The sequence below is a fragment of the Homo sapiens genome, chromosome 22 (assembly GCF_000001405.40).
Source record: "Homo sapiens chromosome 22, GRCh38.p14 Primary Assembly".
Lineage (NCBI taxonomy): Eukaryota > Metazoa > Chordata > Mammalia > Primates > Hominidae > Homo > Homo sapiens.
Window position 1 is genome coordinate 25,610,731 of NC_000022.11, and position 24,484 is coordinate 25,635,214.

Consider the following 24,484-nt stretch of genomic DNA (forward strand, 5'->3'; position numbering starts at 1 on the left):
GTAGTCTCTTGCATCTGGCTTCTTTAACTTAGCATAAGGTTTCTGAAGTTAATCCATGTCGTTGTGTGTATCTGTACTTCATTCCTTTTTGTTGCTAAATAGCATTCCATATTATGGACAGAGCACACTTTTTTTTTGTTTTTTGTTTTGAGATAGAGCCTTGCTGTGCTACCCAAGCTGGAGTGCAGTAGCTCGATCTCTGTTCACTGCAACCTCCGCCTCCTGGGTTCAAATGATTCTCGTGCCTCAGCCTCCTGAGTAGCTGGGATTACAGGTGCATGCCACCACACCCAGCTAATTTTTGTATTTTTAGTAGAGACAAGGTCTCACTATGTTGCCCAGGCTGGTCTCGAACTCCTGACCTCAAGCCATCTACTCACCTCAGTCTCCCAAAGTGCCGGGATTACAGGCATGAGCCACGGTGTCCGGCCTACAGAGCACACTCACTTCATTCAGCAGTTGATGGGCATTTGGATTATTTCCACTTTTTGCCTGTTTATAGAGCAGTTATTGCCACTTTTTGCTTGTTTATAGAGCAATGCTACCATAAACATTTGTGTACAAGTATTTTATGGACATATGTTTTCATTTCTCTTGAGTCTTTACCTAGGAGTGGAATTGCTGGGTTGTATGGCAAATTTGTGTTTAACTTTTTAAGAAATTACCAAATTGCTTTTCAAAGTGGCTGTACTGTTTTACATTCCCACCATCAATTTATGAGCATTCCAGGTTTACTATATCCTCACCAATACTTGTTGTTACCCGTCTTTTTTGTATCCATTTGAATGGATAGGAAGTGGTATCTTGTTGTGGTCTTGATTTGTGATTCTCCAGTAGTTAATGATATTAAACATGTTTGTGCTAATTAGTTATTTGTATATCTTCTTTAGTAAAATGTCTACTTAAATCTTTTACCCATCCTGAAATTTGGATTGTCTTTATGTTATTTGTTGTTTATGTATGATTTACAAATGTTTTCTTCTGGTTGGTGGCTGGAATCCAGTCTCTTTCATTTTCCTAATGGTGACTTTTGAAGCACAGGTTTTATTTTTGAAGTCCAATTTATACATTTTTTTCTTTTATGACTCATAGTTTAGTGTCTTTTTTTTTTTTTTTTTTTGAGATGGAGTCTCACTCTGTCACTCAGGCTGGAGTACAGTGGTGCAATCTGGGCTCACTGAAACCTCCACCTACCAGGTTCAAGTGATTCTCCTGTCTCAGCCTCCAGAGTAGCTGGGATTACAGGAGCACACCACCACACCCAGCTAATTTTTTATATTTCAGTAGAGACGGGTTTTCACCACATGGCCCAGGCTGGTCACGATCTCTTGAGCTCAGGCAATCCACCCGCCTCGGCCTCCCAAAGTGCTAGGATTACAGGTGTGAGCCACCAAGCCCGGCCTTTAGTGTCATATTTAAGAGCTTTTTGCCTAACAAATTTGCAAAGGTTTTCTTCTGTTTTTCTTCTAGTAGTTTTATTGTTTTAGCTCTTATATCTTGGTCTGTGGTCGAATTTGAGTATATTTTTGTCTGTGGTGTAAAGCAAGGTCTAAATCTATCTTTTTTGCATGTGGATATCCGATTTTGTGTTTCTCATTAAATTTGTTCCCAAGTATTTTAATCTTTTTGATGCTATTGTGAATGGAATTGTTTTATTTATTTTAATTTTGGTTGTTCATTGCAAGTACATGGAAATAGAATGAGTTTTTTTGTAGTGATCTTGTATCCAGTGATCTTCCTGAATTAGTTTATCAGTTCTAGTAAGGTATGTCTGCATGTGTGTGTGTGTTTGTGTGTGTGTGTGTATTCCTTAGAATTTTTTATGTATTGAATCCTATCTGAATAAAAAGAGTTTTACTTCTTTGTTTCCAGTCTGGTGTCTTTTATTTCCTTTCAGTTTTTACTTTTCACTTTAATTTCTTAAATGTTTTTTAAGTTGGTCTCAAACATATTTAGCATGATATCAAAGAACATTTACCTAGAAATAATACATAAATTATATTTGACATTTAGGGCCAAGGCATAAGAAATGTACTTGCTGTGGGCTTTGAAAGCAAAGTGTATGTTTCATTATAAAAAGAATACATTGATAAAAACAGAAACTACTACCTCTAAAAGTTAAAAAAAAAAAAAATCTGAGCAGTTTCTATAATAATAAAGATGGATGTAGATAGACCACAGATGCTTATTTTAAAAATTTGGTAATTATTAAAAAAAACCCCAAAATACTAAAAAACAAACTAAAACATTTTAGGATCACTTTTTTGTCAGTTTCAATGAATAAACTTGCCACTCGATTTCATCATTTGTAAAATTATTGCTTGACATGTTTAATATCTAAAATATAACATAGATGGTTAAAAGCTGAAAACATGTATAAGTCAGCAGCTTTGGATTCAAAAGTTGAGGTTAAATTACAGCAAATAGAGCCGTCTTGCATAAGGTTGTAGAGAGGGAACTGTTATCCTGGGAACCAACTTCAACTTTGTTTTCCTCTGTGTTCCTACCTTTGTTTGGAAGTGTTTGTTTCTGTCACAGTGAAGGGCCTCCCCTGACAGATCCCCTGATTGACAGTGACACAGTCAGTTCCCACCCTGCCTTATCTGTAAGAGTTCTCTAGCCAGAGCAACCACAGCCTCAGAGAAGAAAAACCTGGGGCCCTATTCAATTCTGCATCCATTATCCATGCCTTTGTGGAGACTTTTCCTGAGGGAAAGAGTTAAAGAGGCACGTAAACTTTCAAACAGCAGAGACCAACAGTGGACTAAGCACAGCGAATTGGATTTTCTGTTGAAGAGGCAGTGCAGTGGCCGGGTTCAGGCAGTAACGGGAGCCTGGGGGACTTAGGGTCACAGCCTCTGCACAGTTTCAACTTGGGTTTCCTAATAAAAATGCTGCCCAGAGAGGAAAGACACTAGGGTAGAGGAAAAGCTGTTTCTTACAAACCTACTGGCAAGTCCGTCTTCTTTTCAGCTGACTTCATCACCTGTGTTGGACTAAACAAGTCTGGGCATCAGCTCCTGGTGCTGGAGTCTGCCTGGGCTGGGAGCCGCCACATGCCCCCGCAGTGCAGCCTCTGCAGCTCTGAACATTTGGGACATCTGAGCATTTTGGGTTAAAAAGGATAAAAAGAGGAGAAAAAGGCTAAACCAGTTCTATGGGAAAATTTGGTTGTCTTCTTTTTTTTTTTTTAAACCCAGCTTAGTAGGGCTGGTTTTCCTTCTTAAAATTATCATTCAAGTTCAAAGACCAGCCATAATTATCATCGCCCCACCCAAAAAAAAATTCAGAAAAGCTACATTTTACTGGAAAAGCACAATCCTTTAATATCTACTAATCACTAGAAACTATAGGAGCACTGATTTGCCAGCTAGCAAATGTATTATCTTTTTTTTAATGTTATTTATTTATTTTTTGAGACGGGTCTCATTCTGTGGCCCAGGCTGGAATGCAGTGGTACACTCTCAGCTCACTGCAGCCTCAACCTCCTGGGCTCAAGCAGTCCTCCTGCCTCAGCCTCCCGAGTAGCTAGGACTACAGGCACAGGCATGCGCCAACATGCCTGGCTAATTTTTGTATTTTTTGTAGAGATAAGGATTTGCCATGTTGCCCAGGCTGATCTTGGACTCCTGGGCTCAAGAGATCCACCCACCTCAGCCTCCCAAAGTGTCGGGATTATAGGTGTGAGCCACTGTGCTCGGCCATCTATTATCTGCTAAATTTTTACTGCTTAATTTTCCCAGAGCTCTTCTGAGTGTGTGATTGGAATACTATTAGTCCATAATTGGATTTACTATTAGTTTAAGACAGTGATGCTACCTGTGTACTAGACACTTCAGTGAGTATTTTATGTGCTGGTAAAATATGATCAAGCTTGCACAACTCCCAGGTGGCAGAGCCAGAGTTGGAAGTCATGTGCTTTTTCTGCCTATAACCAGCAAAATTTAGTGTGGAAATTAGCATGCATATGAAGTTCTTTAAAAAAATGACATATCAACTGTATAATTTTTATTTCCTATATAATAATACTAAAATCCAGGATTTGGCAGCTGTGCACAAAGATCTCTCTGTAGCTGGTCTACTTTATGTGCTTTGCTGAAGGGGACATTCAATCAAATATATTTGAGTCCTTCACTGGGAATGTCTCTTTAAACAAAAAGGCACATGGAGAAGACTAAGACAGAAGGCTCCCATCCCTAACCAGCTCACCCTGCAAAAGATGGACAGCAAAATGTGTGTGGAAGTGCACAGACCTCTGACATTCCAGTACTGAACAGTTGTTAAGTGTGTTTACTATCGCCAAGCAGCCCCTGAGATTCCCAGAAGAGCCTACTGGTCATTTTCCTGAGGCACGAATTTAAATCCTAAAGCAAACGTGGGGAAGTTATTCTCTTAGCCAAGAGGTAAGCCTTGCTGATCAGCCAGCCTCTGCAGCTAAACTCAACTTTGTAGCTCTCTCTCTGCCAGTGTCCACGTATTTTCGGAAAAAAAAATTATATGCTCTGTCAATATTAGCAAATGTGGGATCTTAATTTATGTTGCTAGAGAATGCCAAGGACCTATGAAACAGCACCTCTGCTGGAAAAGTTCTCTGTAAACTTTTTGAACTGACAGTGGGGGACGATGGGGCTGTTTTAGGATTTTAAGAGCCCTCAATTGGTTTTGAAATTCAAGGTGGTGCTGCATTGTCATAATATCTTCTGGTTTTAGATTTTTTTGGAGATAGCTTTTCTGATGGTTTTACACCTTGTCTTTGATTTATTTTAGTATTTCTACTTCTAGTCAAAGTTAAAACCAGGAAATACAGAGATGTGCTGTGGGGGTGATGGTTAAGCTTTGTTTGAAACTTGTTGCTCAACATTCAGTTGTTCGTTTAATAAATTTAACTATGTGCCATACCTTTCTCCTAAGCACTGGGGAATCCCTTAGGGAACAAAAGCAGAAATCCACACCCTTATGGAGTTAACTCCTCCTTCTCGGGGGAGAAAGATCCACAAATACATACTGTCCACAAGGGGGTAAATCTCAAGGAGGGTAGAAGAGCTGCGAAGAGAGGCAGGGAGTGCTCGTGCACATGGTGGCTTTAAACAGGGTGTTTTAAGAAGGTGCCATTCATAAGGACAATTGAGCAAAGTCCTCTGGGAGAGGAGGGGCCGAGCCCCTGTGGATTTATCTGGGGGAAGAGTACCCAGGTGAAGTGTTGAGCAGGGCAAAGACCCTAAGGCTGGAACCTCAGGGTTGAGGCACAGCAAGGAGGCCAGGGGGCTGCAGGGCAGGGAGTACAGTGGGAGTTGGGGTGAGGGTGGAGAGTGGCCAGGCCCTTGAGGCCCTTGTGAGGGTTTCTGCTCTTACCCAGAGTGAGGTGGGACATAGGGAAGTTTGAGAGTTGGGATGGCATAATCTGACTCAAGTGCTCCTGGATCAGTCTGGCCGATGGGGAGGCATGGGCCAGGGAGGTTGTGTTAGTCCTGTCTCACACTGCTGTAAAGGACTGCTTGAGACTGAGTAACTTATGAAGAAAAGAGGTTTAATTGACTCACATTTCCACAGGCCTAAGAGGAAGCATGACTGGGAGGCCTCAGGAAACTTACAGTCATGGCAGAAGGCAAAGGGGATGCAAGCACCTTCTTCACATGGCGGCAGGAGAGAGAGGGAGGGAGAGAGAGAGAGAGAGAGAAAGAGAGAGAGGCGAGGTGCCACACGCTGTTAAACCATCAGATCTTGTGGCAACTCACTCTCATGAGAACAGCAAGGAGGAAATCCGTGCCCATGACCCAGTCACCTTCCACCAGGCCCCTCCTTCAACATTGGGGATTATAATTCAACATGGGATTTGGGCATGGACATACATCCAAAACATTTCAGAGACCTCTTAGAAAGCTAAAGGCTGTGAGAGACGATGCTGGCCTTTAGACCATTGGGGTTGCCGTGGAAGTAGAGAGAAGTCATGGAATTCCCAGTTTTGAAGATAGAGTCAATAGATTTGTAAGAAATTATGTTGCAGTACAAAAAAGGGTTGTGGGGAGAAGTGGTTTGCTGGGGACACTTGTCCTCAGGTCTAAAGATAAAGGAGAGGTTTTGATAAGAGGTTGAGACTGTAGGGCGATGATGTTGTTTATGCCTCTTGGAATTAAAGTAACTTGATTTGCACAGTGGGCCATTTGCTGGAGTATTGTCACACCTCCTTTGCATTCTAGCTGGTGCTTTGAGGTCAGCATTAAGCTAAGAGCTTTGTCCTGAGGCTGATAGCTTTTTGCTAGATGAACAGAGAAGATTCTTACGGGTGTGAATCAGGAGTGAAATCCCAGCTGGGACAGAGAGAGTCCTTCTAGGCCCCCAGAGAGTCTGTTTATAACATTGGAGCACAAAAAGAGAAACTAGGACAACTTTTTAAAGAAGCACATATTCTTACCTTATACGATGCACTTACTCTCCAAAGAAATATATATTTTTTTAGTTTAAATCATTGTCAGCCTTTGGAATTTGCTCTTTAGGAATTCATTTCCTTGTCTTAAAATTATGGCTATTTAAGAAGATTGAAATTAGTTGTTTTTGGCTTCTGCTTTTCAGCCAGCAGTTGAGTTCCGAATTGGTGACAGAAAAGAACTTGAAATGGAATAGCTTGCTGGGAATAGTGATTTTGGCCCTTTCTCTCAGTGTTGCCTTTTAGTTTATTTTCAGAATATACCCGATTTCCTATTCATGAGGTACCAAATACAAGAATCCAATGTTATTTTTTTCTCGTTTACTAATAAATGTGCTCTGTACTTGTATTCTTACTTTTTAAAACAATTTAATTGATGTAAATATGCATTTCCATAATATGCATTTCCATAACTTCAGAAAGCATAGTCTTGCCCTTTGGGTTCAACCCACCCCAGCCCTGGGCAGCCACTGATCTGCTTTCAGTCACAATAGATTACATTCACCTTTTCTAGAACTTCATATAAATGGATTCAAACAGTACATGCTCTTTTGTGTCTGATTTATGTGGCTCAGCATAATATTCTTGAGATTCTTCCATATTGTGGCTCCTGTTATCAGGATTGCTTTTCTTTTTTTTTGAGATGGAGTCTCACTTTGTTGCCCAGGCTGGAGTGCAATGGCTTGATCTCGGCTCCATGCAACCTCTGCCTCCTGGGTTCAAGCGATTCTCGTACCTCAGCCTCCTGAGTAGCTGGGACTACAGGCACTTGCCACCACGCCTGGCTAATGTATTTTTAGTAGAGATGAGGTTTCGCCATGTTGGCCAGGCTGGTCTTGAACTCCTGACCTCAGGTGATCCACCTGCCTTGGCCTCCCAAAGTGCTGGGATTACAGGCGTGAGCCAACATGCCCAGCCAGGATTTTGTTTCTTTTTTTTGCTGAATATTATTTTACGTGCATTTAACACAGTTCACTTATCTGTGGACACTGGAATTGTTTCCAGTGTGGGGCAAATATGAATAAAGCTGCCACAGGCATTTCTGCACAAGCCCTGTGAACATACACTATCATTTCTCTTTGGTAAATACCTGGAAGAGGAATTGCTGGATCGTGTCTGATAGGTGCACACACATTACGTTTGCGATGTCTTTTTGAGGAGTTGACTTATTTATATCACAGTGAAATGTCTTTTATCCTGGCAATATATTGCTCTGGTGTCTACTTTGTCTAATATTGATTTAGTCACTCCAGCTTTCTGATGTTAGTGTTTGCATGGTACATCTCTTCTCCATTCTTTGATTTCAAAGTGTCTCTATTTAAAGTGTGTTTGTTACAGGCAGAATCTGCTTGAGACTGCTTTTTAAACCCAGACTAACAATCCCTGTTATTTCATTAGAATGTTTAGATCATTTACAATTAGTTATCAAAACAGTTGGAGTGAAGTCTCCCATCCTTCTAACTGTTTTCTGTTTGTTCTTTTTTCTCCTTTTCCTGTTGTCTTTTGAATTGAATATACTTTGGTATGTTAGGTTATTGCCACACTGGCTTATTAGCTGTACCTCTTCATTTTTTTTTTTTTTTGGTGTTTCCAGGAACCTCTGCATCCCTGAACTCTTGATGCCCTCACCTCAGCAAGACCACCAAGGTCTGCTTGGGTGTCCCTCCTAGCGCTGCAGTTCAGTGCAGTTGACCACTGTCCTAAGGTACCTCTAGGCCAAGAGCCAGCTCATCCTGGGATCCTCCTAGTTTATTTTCCTTCTCTGAAAGACCGCAACCCTTTCCATGTCTGAAAACAGTTATTTCATAGAACTTTTCTCTCTAGCTTCCTGGCTGGTCATGGTGAGAGATTAAGTCTGGTCCTTATTATTGTATTATGCCCTTGAAGTATAATTTCATTTTTGAAATATTTGGCTCTTGGTGAGAAAATTTGATAAATACTTGAAACTGAGACTCCCTGTAAAATCCTAGACATATAGCGCCTTTGTTATAACTTCATGGTGCAACACAAACATGATGGTTGGCTTCCAGGTTACCCATAACAGCACAGGTAAGTCTAAGAAGCTTTAGAAAAGGCTGTATCCATACAGTTTGGGTCATGATAACAGTTAATGAGCCCCTTGGTGCTCAGTGCTCTACATACGTGATCTCATTTAGTCTTCAGAATGACCCTGTGCAGATCATTCTTGGCCCCCTTTTACAGGCAAGGAGCCGAGCCTCAGAGGTGAAGGGATTTGCCTGGTGTCTTGCACATAGTGATGGGCTGAGGTGGAGTCTACCACACTCCAAGCTAAAGCTTTTGACCACTATACTAAGCTGAGTAAGGAGTTTTTGTTGTCGTTGTTTTCGATAAAGGGTCTTGCTCTGTTGCCCAAGCTGGAGTTTAGTGGCGTGATCATAGCTCACTGCTGCCTCGAACTCCTGGACTCATGTGATCTTCCCATCTCAGCCTCCAGGGTAGCTAGGACTACAGGTGCACACGATCATACCTGGCTAGTTTTTTTTTTTTTTTTTTTTTTTTGTAGAGATAGGATCTGGCTGTTGCCCAGGCTGGTTTCGAACTCCTGGCTTCAAGTGATCCTCCTACCCTAGCCTCCCAAAATGCTGGGATTATGAGCCACTGAGCCAGACCAAACTAAGTATTTGAAATGTCTTAAGGGGCAGCAGCAGGTTAGGTGGTGCTGGAACATCTATGAAGTGGTTGGTTTCTTCCTGAGGTAGCTACTTGTTGCCAGGAGAAAGCATTATGATTCATTTCTCACAGAAAGTGGTTCCCTCTCCCCCTTCTCTCTTCCTTTACTCTCTCCTGCTCCTCACATTCCTTCCTTTACTCTTCCTTTCCTTTGTCTTTTTTGTGTGTGTGTGTGTGTGTGTGTGTGTGTGTGTGTGTGTGTGTGTGTGTGTGGTTTTAAGGAGTGGAGAGTTTAATAGGCAAGAAGGAAGGGAGAAGGAAGAAGCTCCCCTGTACAGAGACAGAGGGAGGGGCGCTTCAAAGCCAAGAGAGGGAACCCCAAATGGGGCGGAAACCAGCCAGGTGTATATATAGAGAGGCTGGAGAAGGCAGTGTCTGTTTTGCACAGGGCTCGGGATTGGTTTGACCAGGCCTGTCTTTCACATAGCCCGCGAAAAAGCTGGCCCTCCCACCCTAGCCTTTTAATATGCAAATGCAGGGCACCATGATGTTCTGCACACGTGGGGATATGTGAGGGCCATTAGGTTGCCAGGAACATGTTGGGCAAGGGCAAGAAGTCCCGCAGGGATTGTGGGGATTGTCGTGTTGGGTGGACCTAGTTTCTAATTGCCTGCATTTGCATATCAAAGGTTGCCAGCCCGGCTCTAAGAGCAGGGGCTTTACAAGAAGCTTTTCCCAAGAGGCTTTAAAAAATGAAAACTTCCCAAAACTTTTCCTCCTTGTCTGCCTAAAATACTTTCTTAATAACTCCTACAACATTCCTCCCAGTGGAGACGCCCCACTAGCTGCTGTTAGGAGGTTTTGGGCGACAACTCTTTCTGGCTACTTCCTGCAGAAAAGGGGTGTTGAATGGGGAACAGCAGCTAGGCCTCCTCCTGGAGTCCATCTAAGGGTCCTCAGAAGAATGGCGTGTCCTTGTGTGGTTCAGTTGACAGCACCGTTTGGAGTTTGATTGCTGCTAGGCAAGAAGAAACAATTTGAGTTGTAGTATTGAGTATACAGAGTCCAAATATCAATACAAGACATATCAGTAAGAGGGGGCTTAATAAAGGGGTTAACGAATTCCATCAAGAAGACTGGAATTTATTAAAGAGGGATTGTAGCCACTCGGGACTGAAGCCAGCATTTTCCTTGAGCCTGTCAATAATTTTGATTTGATCTTTAAGTACCTGTAGATTTTCCTTTACTATACTAGAGGTGTTCATCCAAAAGCAGCATGTTTCATTTAAAAGTGCGTCACTAGACCCAATAAAAAGTCCTAGCAGACTTAGTGATAGTAAAACTTTCATGCTTCCTTTTTGTTAGTAACTATTATCCCTGCTATAGAGATAGTAGAGTGAGGACAGCAATTCCCACAAGTGTGGTGTGGTAGGTAATTTCCATCTAAAATTTTACTTGCCAACATATAGAATTCCCCTTTGGGGGTCTGTGAAGTTCCTTGGTTTTATTTTCCCAAACAAAGAAACCTCTGGGTTATGGGCACCTTACTCACTTTCATTACCTGGCAGAATTTGCAAGATAATTGCCCAGAACTAGTATATTGATTCACATGTTTACGTTACCCATCCCTATTTTTTCTTTTTTTCAAGCTGCAGAAGATCACCATTTGATTCACAGGAATAGGCAGAGTTAGTCTAAAATGTAGGCAAAAAGCTTAAAAACAATTAGTGAGACTAGGATTTAATGACAAATATATGATAACCTTTGGAGCAAAATTTTTCTCTCCAGTCCTCATTTTTGGTAAAAACTAATTATGAATAAACTTTAGTCTTATACTTGGCCTGATTATTTGCATAAAGGGCAGCAAGAATGGTTATTTTTACATGGACCTTTTGGATTAGCTTTGATGAAACTCTATTCCACAAGGAATCTTAGACAAGACCCTTAAAGTTGAGCCCAGCCATGGGTTTGTATCCTCAAATACCTGTGAGTTGGGTGATCCTCTCCTCTTGAGGTCCCAAGATAAACTGGGAGCTCCCAGACCTGTTAGAAAGTGACATTCTTTACTGACCACAGGTTAGGAACCCTGTGCAGAGACTATAGACAAGGTATGGGGCCAGTTCTCCCCAAGGGGCTTTTATTGGCTCTACATGTTAAGCTTGATTCCTTAAAGGGAAACACACTGTTTCAGTTAAAGCCTTGGTAAAATAACCAGTTTTTCCAACTGTGTCCTGTTGGCATCCTTTGCCTTTTTTTTCTTTAAACCCCTCCTCTCTTTGTCAAAATAGCAATAAGATCCCCAGCAGAAGAGAATGAAATCAAAACTGACCCCACTTGAATTCATGAAACCACAGAATGTTAGGCCTAAGTGAAACCTCAGAGTCTATGCATTCCAGCCCCTTCATTTGATTGATGACGAAACTAAGGAACACTGGCAGAGAAGTGAGTTGGTAGAACCATGCAGCTTGTCGGTGTGCAGCAGGTCCTGGAATGCAGGGAACACTGACCTTGGGCGGGATGCGGGGATCAGCTCCCTCAGCGTCTGAGGGTATCAGCCAGATCATAGCGTTTGCTGTGCAGTGGGATCGTGAAGAGCCAGGACCTGAAGGAGACCGAGTAGCGCTTACATAGGTTAGTTGTTTAGGGGACATTTCTTTGAGGATGTGATCAGGGGATCATGTGGAGCAGCGTCGTCATCAGCCAGGGCAAGAGGGAGTGCAGTGTGTTTCAGAAACTGCCAGAAGGCCCACGCAGGCAGCTCCTGATGAGAGAAAAGAGGGGAGGCAGGGAACTGCGCAGGAGCCAGGGTTTTGAGTGTGATGGGAAGCTCTGGTGGGTCTTGACCAGGCCCGATGTATGTTTTAAGATCATTCTAGCCTCTTTATGAAGAATGAATTGCTGGGATCAGAGTGGGAGCATGGAAACAGGAAGAAGAATCTGGAGACCCCTGTCGCATTTAGGAAGTCGCCAAAGGTGGCTTTTGTTAGAGTAAGAGCAGCAGAGATGTAAGAATGGGTGGCCTGGGACATATTCTGGAGCCAGAACTGAATAGGGAAGAGAAGACTCAAGGAGTAGTTCAATGCCATAGTTTGGGGGTAAGTGTATACATAGTTTCTGTAATTTAGGGGAATAAATACATTCTATAAAGCATATTTTCTTTTGTTTTTGTTTTTTGAGATAGGGTCTCACTCTGTCACCCAGGCTGGAGGGCGGTGGCGCGATCTTGGCTCACTGCAACCTTTGCCTCCCGGGGTCAAGTGATTCTCCAGCCTCAGTCTCCTGAGTAGCTGAAAACACAGGTGTGTGCCACCACATGTGGCTAATTTTTGTATTTTTTGTAGAGACGGGGTATCTCCATGTTGTCCAGGCTGGTCTCATACTCCTGACCTCAAAGCAATCTGCCTGCCTCAGCCTCCCAAAGGGCTGGATTATGGGTGTGAGCCACCATGCCCGGCCATACTTTCGTAAGTTATTCAAAACTATAGAAGGAGAGGAGCTAGCTAATGCGCAGAAAGATGAAATGACGAGACAGAGTGATGCGGCTACGATGGCATTGGGCCTTCCTAATTCCCGCCGTGTAAGCCCCTGCCTTTGGCTTGTGCTGCTCTCTGTCTCCTGTGTCCTTGTTTGCATCTGTCCCTTCCCACAAGTAACCTCTGCACTTACTTGATGGCACAGCTTTGGTGCAGCCTTAGTGAGCCAGCTCATTTCAGTTCTGTGGTTTCGTTTCATAATGAGTGATTGTTTCTAGTGTAATGTGTTGCCCTTGCCTCTACCAGAACAGATCAAATACCTCACTAATTATCTCCTCCCTGACCAGAAAAACACAAACTAAGAAACCTACACACCTGTATTCATGCACACGCACATATGCACATGCACACCTGGTGTCCTTTCCTCCCTTTCTATTGACATTAATGACACCGCTGTTCTCCAAGCTGTCCAGGATTCAAAGCTCTGAAGCCTCGCTGATGCCTTCTCGTCCTTGTCTCTCCTGCCCCATCATCCTCCATTTCCACCACAGCCACTTTAATTATGCCATTATTACTCTGACCCAGATAGTTCAGGACCTTCCTAACTGGCTATCCTATATTAATTTTTTTCTTTCTCCAGCCCTTTTGTTAAACTTTTAATTTTTGCTGGGAAACATAGCCTCCGGCCAGGAGTCAGGATCAGGCACTTCCAATCTCCAGCTCTTTTCCTGTTATCCGGCAGTCTGAAAACATAGTCTGGTCACGGTGTGATTGCATTCCGAAGCTTTCCTAAGCCCCCACTGCAGGGTGCAGTCAGCTTGTTCCTGTCACTCAGGTACCCAGAACTTGCCTCCATCTTTTTTTTCCTTATCTTTTAATTTCAGCGTTCATTGTGAACATGCGTCATGCTCCTGGCACCCCGCATCTGCTTTCAGTCTGTCTCCCTCTGTGGAAGGCCACCTCCTTTCCTATGCTCTTCAGAGAGATTCACCATTCAAGGATTAGCTTAAAACCCTGATTTCTGGCCAGGCGCGGTGGCTCACTCCTGTAATCCCAGCACTTTGGGAGGCCGAGGCGGGCGGATCACGAGGTCAGGAGATCGAGACCATCCTGGCTAACACGGTGAAACCCCCTCTCTACTAAAAATACAAAAAAATTAGCTGGGTGTGGTGGCGGGCACCTGTAGTCCCAGCTACCTGGGAGGCTGAATCAGGAGAATGACGTGAACCCGGGAGGTGGAGCTTGCAGTGAGCCTAGATCACGCCACTGCATTCCAGCCTGGGTGACAGAGTGAGACTCCATCATTAAAAACAAAAACAAAAACAAAAAACCCTGATTTCTGACTATGAATAATCTCTTTTGATGTTCCTGCTCTACTCATTGTCTGTAGCATTCATTTGGCGCTTACTGTGGAAAGTATAGTACTGTGAGGTGCCTCTTTAATGTTTCCCAACTGATCCTTGAGATCAAAGCTCATCTCTGACGCTATTTTCTCTTTGTAATTCTAAAGCTTCTAGTTCAGTATTTTACACATCTGAGGAATTGACTCTTCTTTTTTGGTTAACTTTCTGTTTCCGCACACAATGATTTTAACTGCCATTAGTATCAAACTGTTATTTGCAGCATTTAATATAAAGAGTGTATATTAGATGATGAATCTCTTTTTTTTTTTTTTTGAGACGGAGTCTTGCTCTGTCTCCCAGGCTGGAGTGCAGTGACGTGATCTTGGCTCACTGCAAGCTCTGCCTCCCAGGTTCATGCCATTCTCCTGCCTCGGCCTCCCAAGTAGCTGGGACTACAGGCGCCTGCCACCACGCCTGTCTAATTTTTTGTATTTTTAGTAGAGACGGGGTTTCACCGTGTTAGCTGTGGGCGGCAAGCCACCCAGGCACCGAGGCAAGAGACCGAGGACACGAGCTGTTCCACTATAATAAAATATAAAACAAGAATAGTTATACCAGATATAGATCTTAGAGATGATTATATATGAATATCATTAATCATTAGTTTGTAGCAATTACTCTTTATTCCAATATTATAATAATCCTCGCTCTGCAATCATAACCTAGGAAAAACCAGGCCATACAGAGATAGGAGCTGAGGGGACACAGTGAGAAGTGACCAGCAGACAAGAGTGCGAACTTTCTGTTATGCCCAGACAGGGCCACCAGAAGGGCTCTTTGGTCTAGCGGTGACACCAGCATCTGGGAAGATGCCCGTTGCCAGGCGGACCGTGGTCTAGCGGCAGCGAAAAGTGTCAAGGAACAACACTCGCTACTTAGCAGACCGGGAAAGGGAGTCTCCCTTCCCCCGGGGAAGTTTAGAGAAGACTCTGCTCCTCCACCTTTTGTGGAGGGCCTGACATCAGTCAGGCTCGCCCACAGTTATCCGGAGGCCTAACCGTCTCCCTGTGATGCTGTGCTTCAGTGGTCATGCTCCTAGTCTGCCTTCATGTTTCATCCTGTACACCTGGCTCTGCCTTCTAGATAGCAGTAGTCAATTAGTGAAAGTACTAAAAGTCTCTGATATGCAAAAATAATGGCGTAAGCTGTTTTTCTCTTTGTCTCCTCTCTCTCTCTGCCTCGGCTGCCAGGCAGGGAAGGGCCCCCTGTCCAGTGGACACGTGACCCACGTGACCTTACCTATCATTGGAGATGACTCACACTCTTTACCCTGCCCTTTTTGCTTTGTATCCAATAAATAACAGCACAGCCAGACATCCGGGGCCACTACCGGTCTCCGTGCATTGGTGGTAGTGGTCCCCTGGGCCCAGCTGTCTTTTCTTTTATCTCTTTGTCTTGTGTCTTTATTTCTACACTCTCTCGTCGCCGCACATGGGGAGAGACCCACTGACCCTGTGGGGCTGGTCCCTACATTAGCCAGGATGGTCTTGATCTCCTGACCTTGTGATCTGCCCGCCTCAGCCTCCTAAAGTGCTGGGATTACAGGCGTGAGCCACCGCGCCAGGCCGATGATGATTCTCTTAGTGTGAAGTCTTAGCCCACGCACCTGTCTCCAAGTCGTCTTGCCGTAGGACTTGCAGATGTTTGTGCACTGTTGGGATGGGTGATAGGATGAATATCTGTGGAAATAGAGGGATCCTTTGGGCAGCTGTTTTGAGTAGGGATCAGGGAATAGCAGCTGTGTCCACTGCCCTTCCCTTGTACAGGGAGTGAGAGGGAGTGTTCACTGATCAAGCCAACTTCATTTCCGCAAGAGATATCCCCACTTCCGGGATGCTATTAAGGCACTGGGTGTTACTCCCTTTAAAACATTCAGAGTGAACTCTCACTAGAGGTATTCACAACTTACCAGATGACTTTAAAAAAATACCTCTGTTATTTAATTGACAAATTATTATATTCAGTTGGTTATAAGTTAAAATGAATTGGGGCAAAATAATCACAGAAACCATCTGATTGCTCTAGCAAGTAGTCATTTTATATGCATTAGATTTCACAGTAAATATGAAAAGCAGCTCTAACCACAAGCTGGTCGGGGCGGCATAGCACCAGGCTGCAGGTTTGAAGATCGGTGCACAGTCAGGGCTATCGTCTGCCCCCAGTGGGTTGGCAGTGGCACCCATACCACCTGGTGTTCCACTGTTATGGGTTTAGTCTTTTGAGTCTTGAAGGCTTTTGATAACATCTTCACATTCTAATAGAAATATTCAGTGGGGCAGAGGTAGGCAGGCACTATTAGTGTATAGGTGTTGACACCCAAGTACCTATTTTAGGTAAGGTTAGGGACAGGGAAGAGGATGCAAGGGCCATCTGGGGACAGGTGTCATGGCAGATAAGTGTCATATTGCAGAGTACCTTGGGGAAGGGGAAGGAGGACAGATTCATAATACCTACCTTCAGCCTTGCTCAGGGACTCCCATGTTGGGGAGAAAGAGTTTCTTCTCTAAAATCCTCAGAACTGGGCTCAAGAGCCGAGTTTTTATTTTTTATGAAACAATTGCCCACTTATACTAAAAACTATTCCCCAGCAGGCTTTTTGGCATTTGAAGCTTTCAGCAAGCAGAGGATTATATAACTGATAAATATTAAGTATTGGAATTTCTGAGGCTGGATCCCTTAGCCTGGTGGCTGAAGGCCAACCCTCCCTGAGCCTCCTTGGCGTAATAAAGCATACCTTCCACCTTTTCCCTGTAGGAACTTGCTCTGCCTAAATTGAAGTCACACTCTTTCCTTATCTCAAGCTAAATTTCCTGCCTTTGAGCACTGATTCATTCTTTCTCCTGACTCTATAGCCCGTTAATCTTTCCAAGTCTAGCTTGCACTTAATGTCTTCCTGAAACCATCTGTGACTGTACCACAACCATCTGATCTTCCTTTAAGTAAATTTATCCAACGTTCATTGAGCCAATTAAGTACTAGCCATTGTGCTAGAGATTAGAGAGAAAAATAAACAAAAACAGACCACTTCCCTCTTGTAGCCCACAGCCTAGTCAGGGAGACAAATGAGGAACCAGCTGCTACTTATTGAACTAGGAAGAGATGTGTCCATCCTTAACATCATGCAGGCTGTCTATTTCAAAGGCCACTGTCATGTTTAAGAGGAGGATGCTAGAGGCATTTCTGTCAACGCCAGGAATGACAAGGAGCCAGGAACAGACACACAGATCACTCACATGGATCTGACCAAGTACCTGAGAGGTGGACATACAGAGGATTCCTTAAGCAATAGTATTGACTTGCAAATCCCAATACAGAAAAGCCCTAGAACCTTCTATGCAAAAGCCCCATCATCCAGGGTAAAACTGGGCAAAGGTCCTATTGAGAGACAGACAGGTCATTAAAACGGGGAAACAGATGGAACTTAAACCTAAGAAAAGATTTTCAATGTTATTCAAAAATAAGAGAAACACAAAGGTGCTCTGAAATGTTATTTTGTTATCTTTCAAATTGATAAAAAGCCCAAAGTTAAAGAACACACTTTTGGTATGGCAGTGGGTTTCAAAATGGGCACTCCTATCCATTGCTGGTGGTAGTAAAAATAGATACTACTCCAGCAGAGGCTAGTGTGGCCATGTCTATTGAAATAACAAAGTGTCCATATGACGTTTAACTTACAAGTTTTTCTCTGAGGAAGGTATCCTGCAAGTGTACTGAATACATGATAAAAAGTGGATGTAGAGGGTTATTTATTGCAGCAGTTTTGTAAAAGCAAAATATTTGGCACAACCCAAATATTCATTGGAGAGCAAGTTATGTAAATTATGAGATGGAATGCCATGCGGTTATAAAAGAGAATCAAGTAGCTCCTCCTGACTGGTATAGGAAGATCTCCAAGGCATAGTGTTTTGGAAAAAAGGCTGATGTTGACAGTGTGTATAGAGTACAGTGGAAAATTAGAGTTCATGTTTGCACTTGCTTTTATATTGTATTCGAAGGTAATACAAACACTTGTAACAAGGAAACCCCAGAATGTCAGGGACTGTACACAGGGAATGTTCTTTCTCATTTGGTAACAGTGCTTGTCACAGGTTGTCACAAGCCTGTAACATTTGTAACAGGTTGTTACAGATCAGCATGAGGCTTTTCTCCATGCACTTCCATCTTGTGGCACTGGTGTCCCTTAGGACTTGGGAGTCCCTTGCAGAGAGCTGTCACATCGATTTCTTAACAGCCGTGGCCCAGAGGTGACATACCCCACTTCCCTGAAAAGATGGAAGAAACTAATAACAGCAGGTGCCTTGGGGGTGGTGATGGTGGTACGTGACTGGGCAGGAAGATGAAGGGCAGGAAAGAGGGGAAAACTTTTAAAATATATTTTAGCAATTTTGAACTATATTATTCATTTATAAAATAAAAACAAATCATTGTAATAAAGCCAGATCATGCTCTGAAAATGGTAAGAACCCAGTGCTGTGGGGGCATAGAAGGGGCAGCTCTGCCTTGCCTCGGGGAGCGGACTTCCAAGTGTGCTGCTTTCTGTGGTGCTCGCTTGAAGCCCTAAAGGTGTAGCAGGTGTTAACCAGGTCAAGCCTGCAGGAAAAGAGGTTTGTGAGAAAGGGGCTAGACAAGTGGATGGCAGAGAATTGCCAGGGGATTGGTGAAGAGAGGGTGGCTGCCGAGATGGAAGGAGTCCATGTGCAGATACAGAGGCAGGATTTACGGTAAATAGGTTAATACAGCATATGGAGCTGTGGGTGCTGGAACCTGCTGGAACCACCATCACCCCAAAGGCAACTACGGTTACTAGTTTCTCCCATCTTTTCAGAAAAGTGGGGTGTGTCCCCTCTGGGCCAAGGCCATTAAGAAATCACTGTGATGACTTCGATGTCTTTTCTCCCAACTCTATGCAAGGGACTGTAAGTCGTAAGGGACACCTGGCTGGTGGGTGGGCAGGTCAGGTCTGGGCAGGTCAGGTCTATGCCAGTGCATTTGCATGGTAGAGGTACAGGACAGAGCGTGGTGTGTGTTGCAGTAACATGAATGTCTTATCCAACATCCTCTGCAACACCCATGGAAAGTTTCAAAGCAAGGAAGTGTCATGATCAGCTCCAGATCTGATGTGAGTAGCATGAAGGATGAGTTGGAAAGGAGGATGACAGGTGGCTGGGAGCTTAGTGAGGGTGCTGTTGCTGTCATCTAAGGAAGGAACACTGACGTTTTAGCATTTCTCCTCTACCAAGTGAATTTGGCACTTAATACAAGACAAGTAAGTGTTATCATTTTGTGTGTAGCTATCAGGATCTCCAATTAGAGTACAATTGCATTGAAGACCCCTTCATTTTACATTCTAGTATCATGCCATAAATACTTCCTGGCTGATTCTCTTATTTTCAATAAACTTTTATTGATTTAATAAAACATACATATAGAAAAGTACTGAAATCATGAGTTCATAGCCACATGAATTATCACAAAGCAAACTCATGTGTATCGATTGGTTGGCTCTTATTCTGTTTCTTCCTTGTTAAAATTATGGTTAGACTCAGCATGCTTACAACCTCCCCACCCCCACTTTGTCCGGAGAGGTGGATAGATGATTTGTGTTGTACACTCAGACCCTGATTTCCATAATGCCAGCTTTAATATTTGTTCTTAGAGAAGTCTCTGGGAAATGTAAGTCGTATGGCTTATTTGAATAATATTTCTATTTTATCTTAAATTATTTTAAATCTCTCTTATTTTAACTGTCAGTTTGTTTACTGTCTGATGTGCAGAGAACTGTGATAAATGAAAAAATTGAGTGCAATCTGGAGAGGAGTATTAGCATGGTGGCATAGTCAGAAATTTTTACTTTTCTGTCATTATATAATGGTTTTAAAAGGCTGAAAGCAATCCAGCCATTGGAAGGGTTTGATAGAATTTTCTCGCCCCTACATTCTTACATTTCCCTCCCAGTCCCAGTTCGCGTTGTTCCTTTTTGAGTCAAGAGCCAATTGCTTGGAACATTCCATGAATTTTTCTTTGGCCACATTCATTTCCATTTGTGCTTTTGTCTGTTGGACTCTTAATATTCATGGCTCAAAATCTCTCCGTTATCTAAATGAATGATCCCATTAATTAATCTAGGAATATTTTATTGATATGCTGGAAGAATACGTATGTGTTGAATTTAAATTGTGGGCAGGATGGAGAACTTGGGTTTTAGAAGAAGATCCAACTGTTTACAATATTCCCAAATTATATTTCATTTATAATTTTCTCCTCCTGTAAAGTTTTAAGTCAAGAAGTAAAAGTTCCAGTTTGAAATGTAGAGTTAAATAAAAATAAGCGTATTTAAGGCTTATATGAAATAGATGATTATAGTTAACTGAATACTCACTTTGATTTATGTTTATTTGCTCCTATTGGAACTTGGAAGAAAAAAAGCAGAGAATTGTTAATTGGGAATGTAGGTTAGTAATCCCTAGCCAGTAGGGACATGACATCTTATGGGAGTTTTCAGGTTTTATAGCTATATGCTTTTTTCTTTATTTATGAATTTGCTTTTTTATTTGTCATCTACACTTTCCCTTATTTTCATTTGTGAAGAATGTTGTGTATCCTGGACGTGTCAGAGTACTTGTTTATGACCTCTGTATTACCAAGAACCTTTCTAATGACTTATTTTAGTCCACACTTATGTGTGTGAATAATTTTATCCTCCATACAAACTTGTGTTTATGAAAACATCCTGTAGACATTGAGAACTATGCAAGTGATCAGGCTGGCTTCTAGAAATTTTAGATTCCAATTTGTGGCCTATTTACAGCCACTGTGAGGGAACATCTCTGAGCTTTATTCCTGGCTCAACTGTATGTGTCCAATTTTATTTTTCTTTCTTCTTTCATGGTGCTATTTTTATTTAGGTGGAGGGTGGAGGTGCAGGTTTATTGAGGTATAATTTAAATAAAGTAAAATTCAGCAATTAGATCTACAATTCTGTGAGTTTTGACCAACGCATAAAGTGTGCAGCTACTACCAAAATCAAGATACAGAGCAGTTAGTTACCTCTCCAAATTCCTGGTGACCCTTCGTAGTCAACCCACAGCTTATGCTCCAGCTCCTGGCAACTATGGACCTGTTTTCTGTTCCTGTGATTTCTCCTTTTCCAGAATGTCTTATAAGTGGAATCACTTAGCATGTAACCTTTTGTTCCTTTTATTTAGCATGATGTGTTTGAGACGCACTTTGCACGTATGAGTAGTTCATTCCCGTGTATTGGGAAGCTTCCATTGTATGGATGCATCGCAGTTGGTTTATCCATCCACCAACTGAACATTTGGGTTGTTTCGAGTAAAGCTAGCTACTTTAAGTATCTGTTTGCAGATTTCTATGTGACTATAAGAGCATACATTTTTATTTCTCTTGGTAAATACTTAGGAGTGGGATTATTGGGTCAAATGACAAATGTTTGTTTAAAGAAACTGCTTTCAAAGAGGCTTTACAAATTGCATTCCTACTAGCAGTCTAAGAGTTCCAACTGCTCCACATCCTTACCAGCATTGCTATTGTCTTTTCTTTTTTGCTTTTGTTATTCTAGTAAGTATATAGGATTATCTTATTGTGATTTTAATTGGTATTTTCCTAATGACTAATGATGTTAATTTTTCATGTGCTCAGTTGACATTTATATATCTTCTTTGGTGAAAGTGTGTTCAAGTCTTTTGCTCAAAAATATTGGTTTGTGTTCTCATTATTGCATTTTGAGAGTCTTTCATATATTTTGGATACAAGTCCTTTAGCAGATATATATTTTGCAAATATTTTCTCCAAATATGTGGCATGTCTTTGCATTTTCTTAAGCATGTAGAACAGAAGTTTTAAAGTATAATGAAATTGAATTTGCCAGTTTTCACTCTTATAGATCTTGTTGGATCTTGGTGACCTTTGCTTTAACCCAAGGTTGCAAAGATTTTCTTGAATTTTTTCCTACAATTTTATAGTTTGAAGATTTATATTTAATTCTATTATCCATTTTGAGTTAATTTTTGTAGGAATCACATATTTTTGCAGAGATGTTCAATGTTGCAGCACCATTTGTTGAAAAGGCTTTCTTCTCATTGAATCATCCTTGCACCTTGGTGAAAGATCAATTGATTATGTATATGTAGATCTGTTTCTGGACTGTATTCTTTTTCATTGATCTATGTGTTTATCCTTTTCTCCAACAGCATACTGCCTGGATTACTGTATCTTTATAATATATCCTTTTTGTTTTTTTGTTTTTAGAGACAGAGTCTTGCTCTGTCACCCAGGCTGGAGTGCAGTGGCGTGATCTTGGCTCACTGCAACCTCTGCCTCCCAGGTTCAAGTGATTCTCCTGCCTCAGCCTCCCAAGTAGCTGGGATTACAGGCACCTGCCACCAAGCCTGGCTAATTTTTTTTTTTGTATTTTTAATAAAGACAGGGTGTCACCATGTTGGCTAGACTGGCTTCGAACTCCTGACCTCAAGTGATCCACCCGCCTCGGCCTCCCAAAGTGCTAGGATTACAGGTGTGAGCCACTGTGCCCGGCCTATAATATATCTTGAACCAGATAGTGTAAATCCTTTTTGTTATTTTCAAAAAGTTTATTATTCTAGTTCTTTTGATTTTTAATATAAATTTTAGAATCCATTTATTGATTTTTTACAAAAATTTCTGCTGGATTTTTGACTGGGATCATGTTAAGTGTATAGATTGATTTGGGAAGAATGGCCATCTTACCAATATCAAGTCTTCCGATCCATTCCATGAACATGGTTTTATTCTTAATTATTTGGATCACCTCTGTTTTTGTTCATTAGTATTTTGTAGTTTTTAGCATACAAATCATGCACATATCTGGTTAGATTTATTCGTAAGTGTTGGGTTTTTTTAATGTTATTATTAATTGTCCTGTTGCTTAAGTTTAAATTTCCCATTGTTCAGTACTAATAAATAAAAATATCAATATGGAATGTGTACCATATATATGAATACATCTATTTAATTAATTTAGTTCTCAAGCAAATTATAATATAGGGCACTTTTGATTCCATTATCTCTTGGCAAAATGGTTGATTGTGTATTTCATGATAATATTTTAAATAGTTTGTTTTTCATGTTTTATTTTAATGCTTTGGTTGGTCAAACTTTTGAAACTTTATAAGAAAATGCATTAAAATAATTTGATAATTTGATTATTAGGGCTTTTTATTATTCCATACAACATAGTTATGGTGAGTGTTCACTATCTGCTCTTTGGATAATTTAATTTTTATTTCTAGACCTTCATGTTACTGTCTAGGTGTTTGTCCCTAGCTTTTAAGGTCTTTCAATAACCAGCTTGCTTTTGTCCATTTCATTTTCTTCTTCTCTTTGATTTCATGATTATTAGTTATGTTTGTATTTTTCACCATTCAATTCATGACTTTCTAATTTGATTTATTTTATTTAGAGATATAGAATCTTAGAGTTGAAAAAATTCTGGAGATTAATCCAAGGGGTTTTTCTTTTAAACTTGAAAAAATGTACTAATATTAGGGAAACCTAACACCTGTTTTGTTAATTTGTTCACATGGAAAAGTTAAGATGCAAGGTCTAACATGTAATGCTGGTTTAGAGATCCTGGTTTAGAGACAATTCTAGTATGGTCAGTGGGGCTGTCTCATGATATGTGTTGTGATGCTGGATGATAAGATGTAAGGTAGTTGTTTCGTGGTGCTTGCAGGGGTTGGAGGGAATTTCCAATTATATGGGAGCTAGTGTGCTTGCTTAGGGTGTTTTACTCAAAAGGCTATAGAGAAATATAATATGTGAAAATGATAATCTTCAAATTGTTATGATAAAATATTTTAGAAAACTCTTGGAACATGTAACTGATTTGCTGCATTAAAGCACCTTTATGTTTCCTCCCAGAATTATGTTTAATTATAAGGGAGCTTATTAACATTGTTCTAGTTAAATTATATTAGCATTTCTATTATATTGTGTTTGTTCAAGGATTTAAAGTGCTGTAAGTTTTCTTCTAGTGCAAATGTCTATATATAGTTTTTAAATGGGTTGGAAATTACTAATTATAAAAGGAATAAATATTTGAAAAGCTAATTTGACAGCAACCATTTCTATTATTAGTCACATAAAATTTCTAATAGTTAAAAGCCAAATTTCAGTTATTTTTCTCTAGCCTTTTTGCCAATAATTATATATAATCTTAGTCATAAATGAGTTTTGTGATTTTGCCGCTTTTCTTATAACTTTGTATTTTGATATGCATTTTAAAATTATATTTTGAAATAACTTCAAACTCAGAAAAGTCGTAAGAATGGTATGAGGAATTTTGTATACCCTTTAAACCAAGCTTGTCCAACTTGCGGCCCGCGGGCTGCATGCAGACCACGATGGCTTTGAATGTGGCCCCACATAAATTCATAAACTTCCTTAAAACATTGAGATGTATTTGTGATTTGTTTTTTGTTAACGTGTGGCCCAAGACAATTCTTCTTCCAATGTGTCTTAGAGAAGCTGAAAGACTAGACACCCCTGCTTTAAAC

At 41.3% G+C, this 24,484-nt stretch overlaps 1 protein-coding gene across 4 annotated transcripts in view, besides 3 other annotated features; it reads left to right on the forward strand.

The window, feature by feature from the left end:
* GRK3 (G protein-coupled receptor kinase 3) overlaps nt 1-24,484 on the forward strand; it is a 164,620-nt gene that overhangs the window by 46,056 nt on the left and 94,080 nt on the right. The window lies entirely within an intron of this gene.
* Nucleotides 9,150-9,936: an enhancer, noted in NCBI's record as "OCT4-NANOG-H3K27ac-H3K4me1 hESC enhancer chr22:26015847-26016633 (GRCh37/hg19 assembly coordinates)". NCBI's record gives its function as "activates a minimal SCP1, AML or CMV promoter by ChIP-STARR-seq in naive and primed H9 embryonic stem cells {active_cell/tissue: H9 hESC(naive and primed)}" and the evidence as "EXISTENCE:reporter gene assay evidence [ECO:0000049][PMID:30033119]".
* Nucleotides 12,705-12,754: a silencer, noted in NCBI's record as "silent region_13563". NCBI's record gives its function as "represses an Ori minimal core promoter by ATAC-STARR-seq in GM12878 lymphoblastoid cells {active_cell/tissue: GM12878}" and the evidence as "EXISTENCE:reporter gene assay evidence [ECO:0000049][PMID:35858748]".
* Nucleotides 12,765-12,834: a silencer, noted in NCBI's record as "silent region_13564". NCBI's record gives its function as "represses an Ori minimal core promoter by ATAC-STARR-seq in GM12878 lymphoblastoid cells {active_cell/tissue: GM12878}" and the evidence as "EXISTENCE:reporter gene assay evidence [ECO:0000049][PMID:35858748]".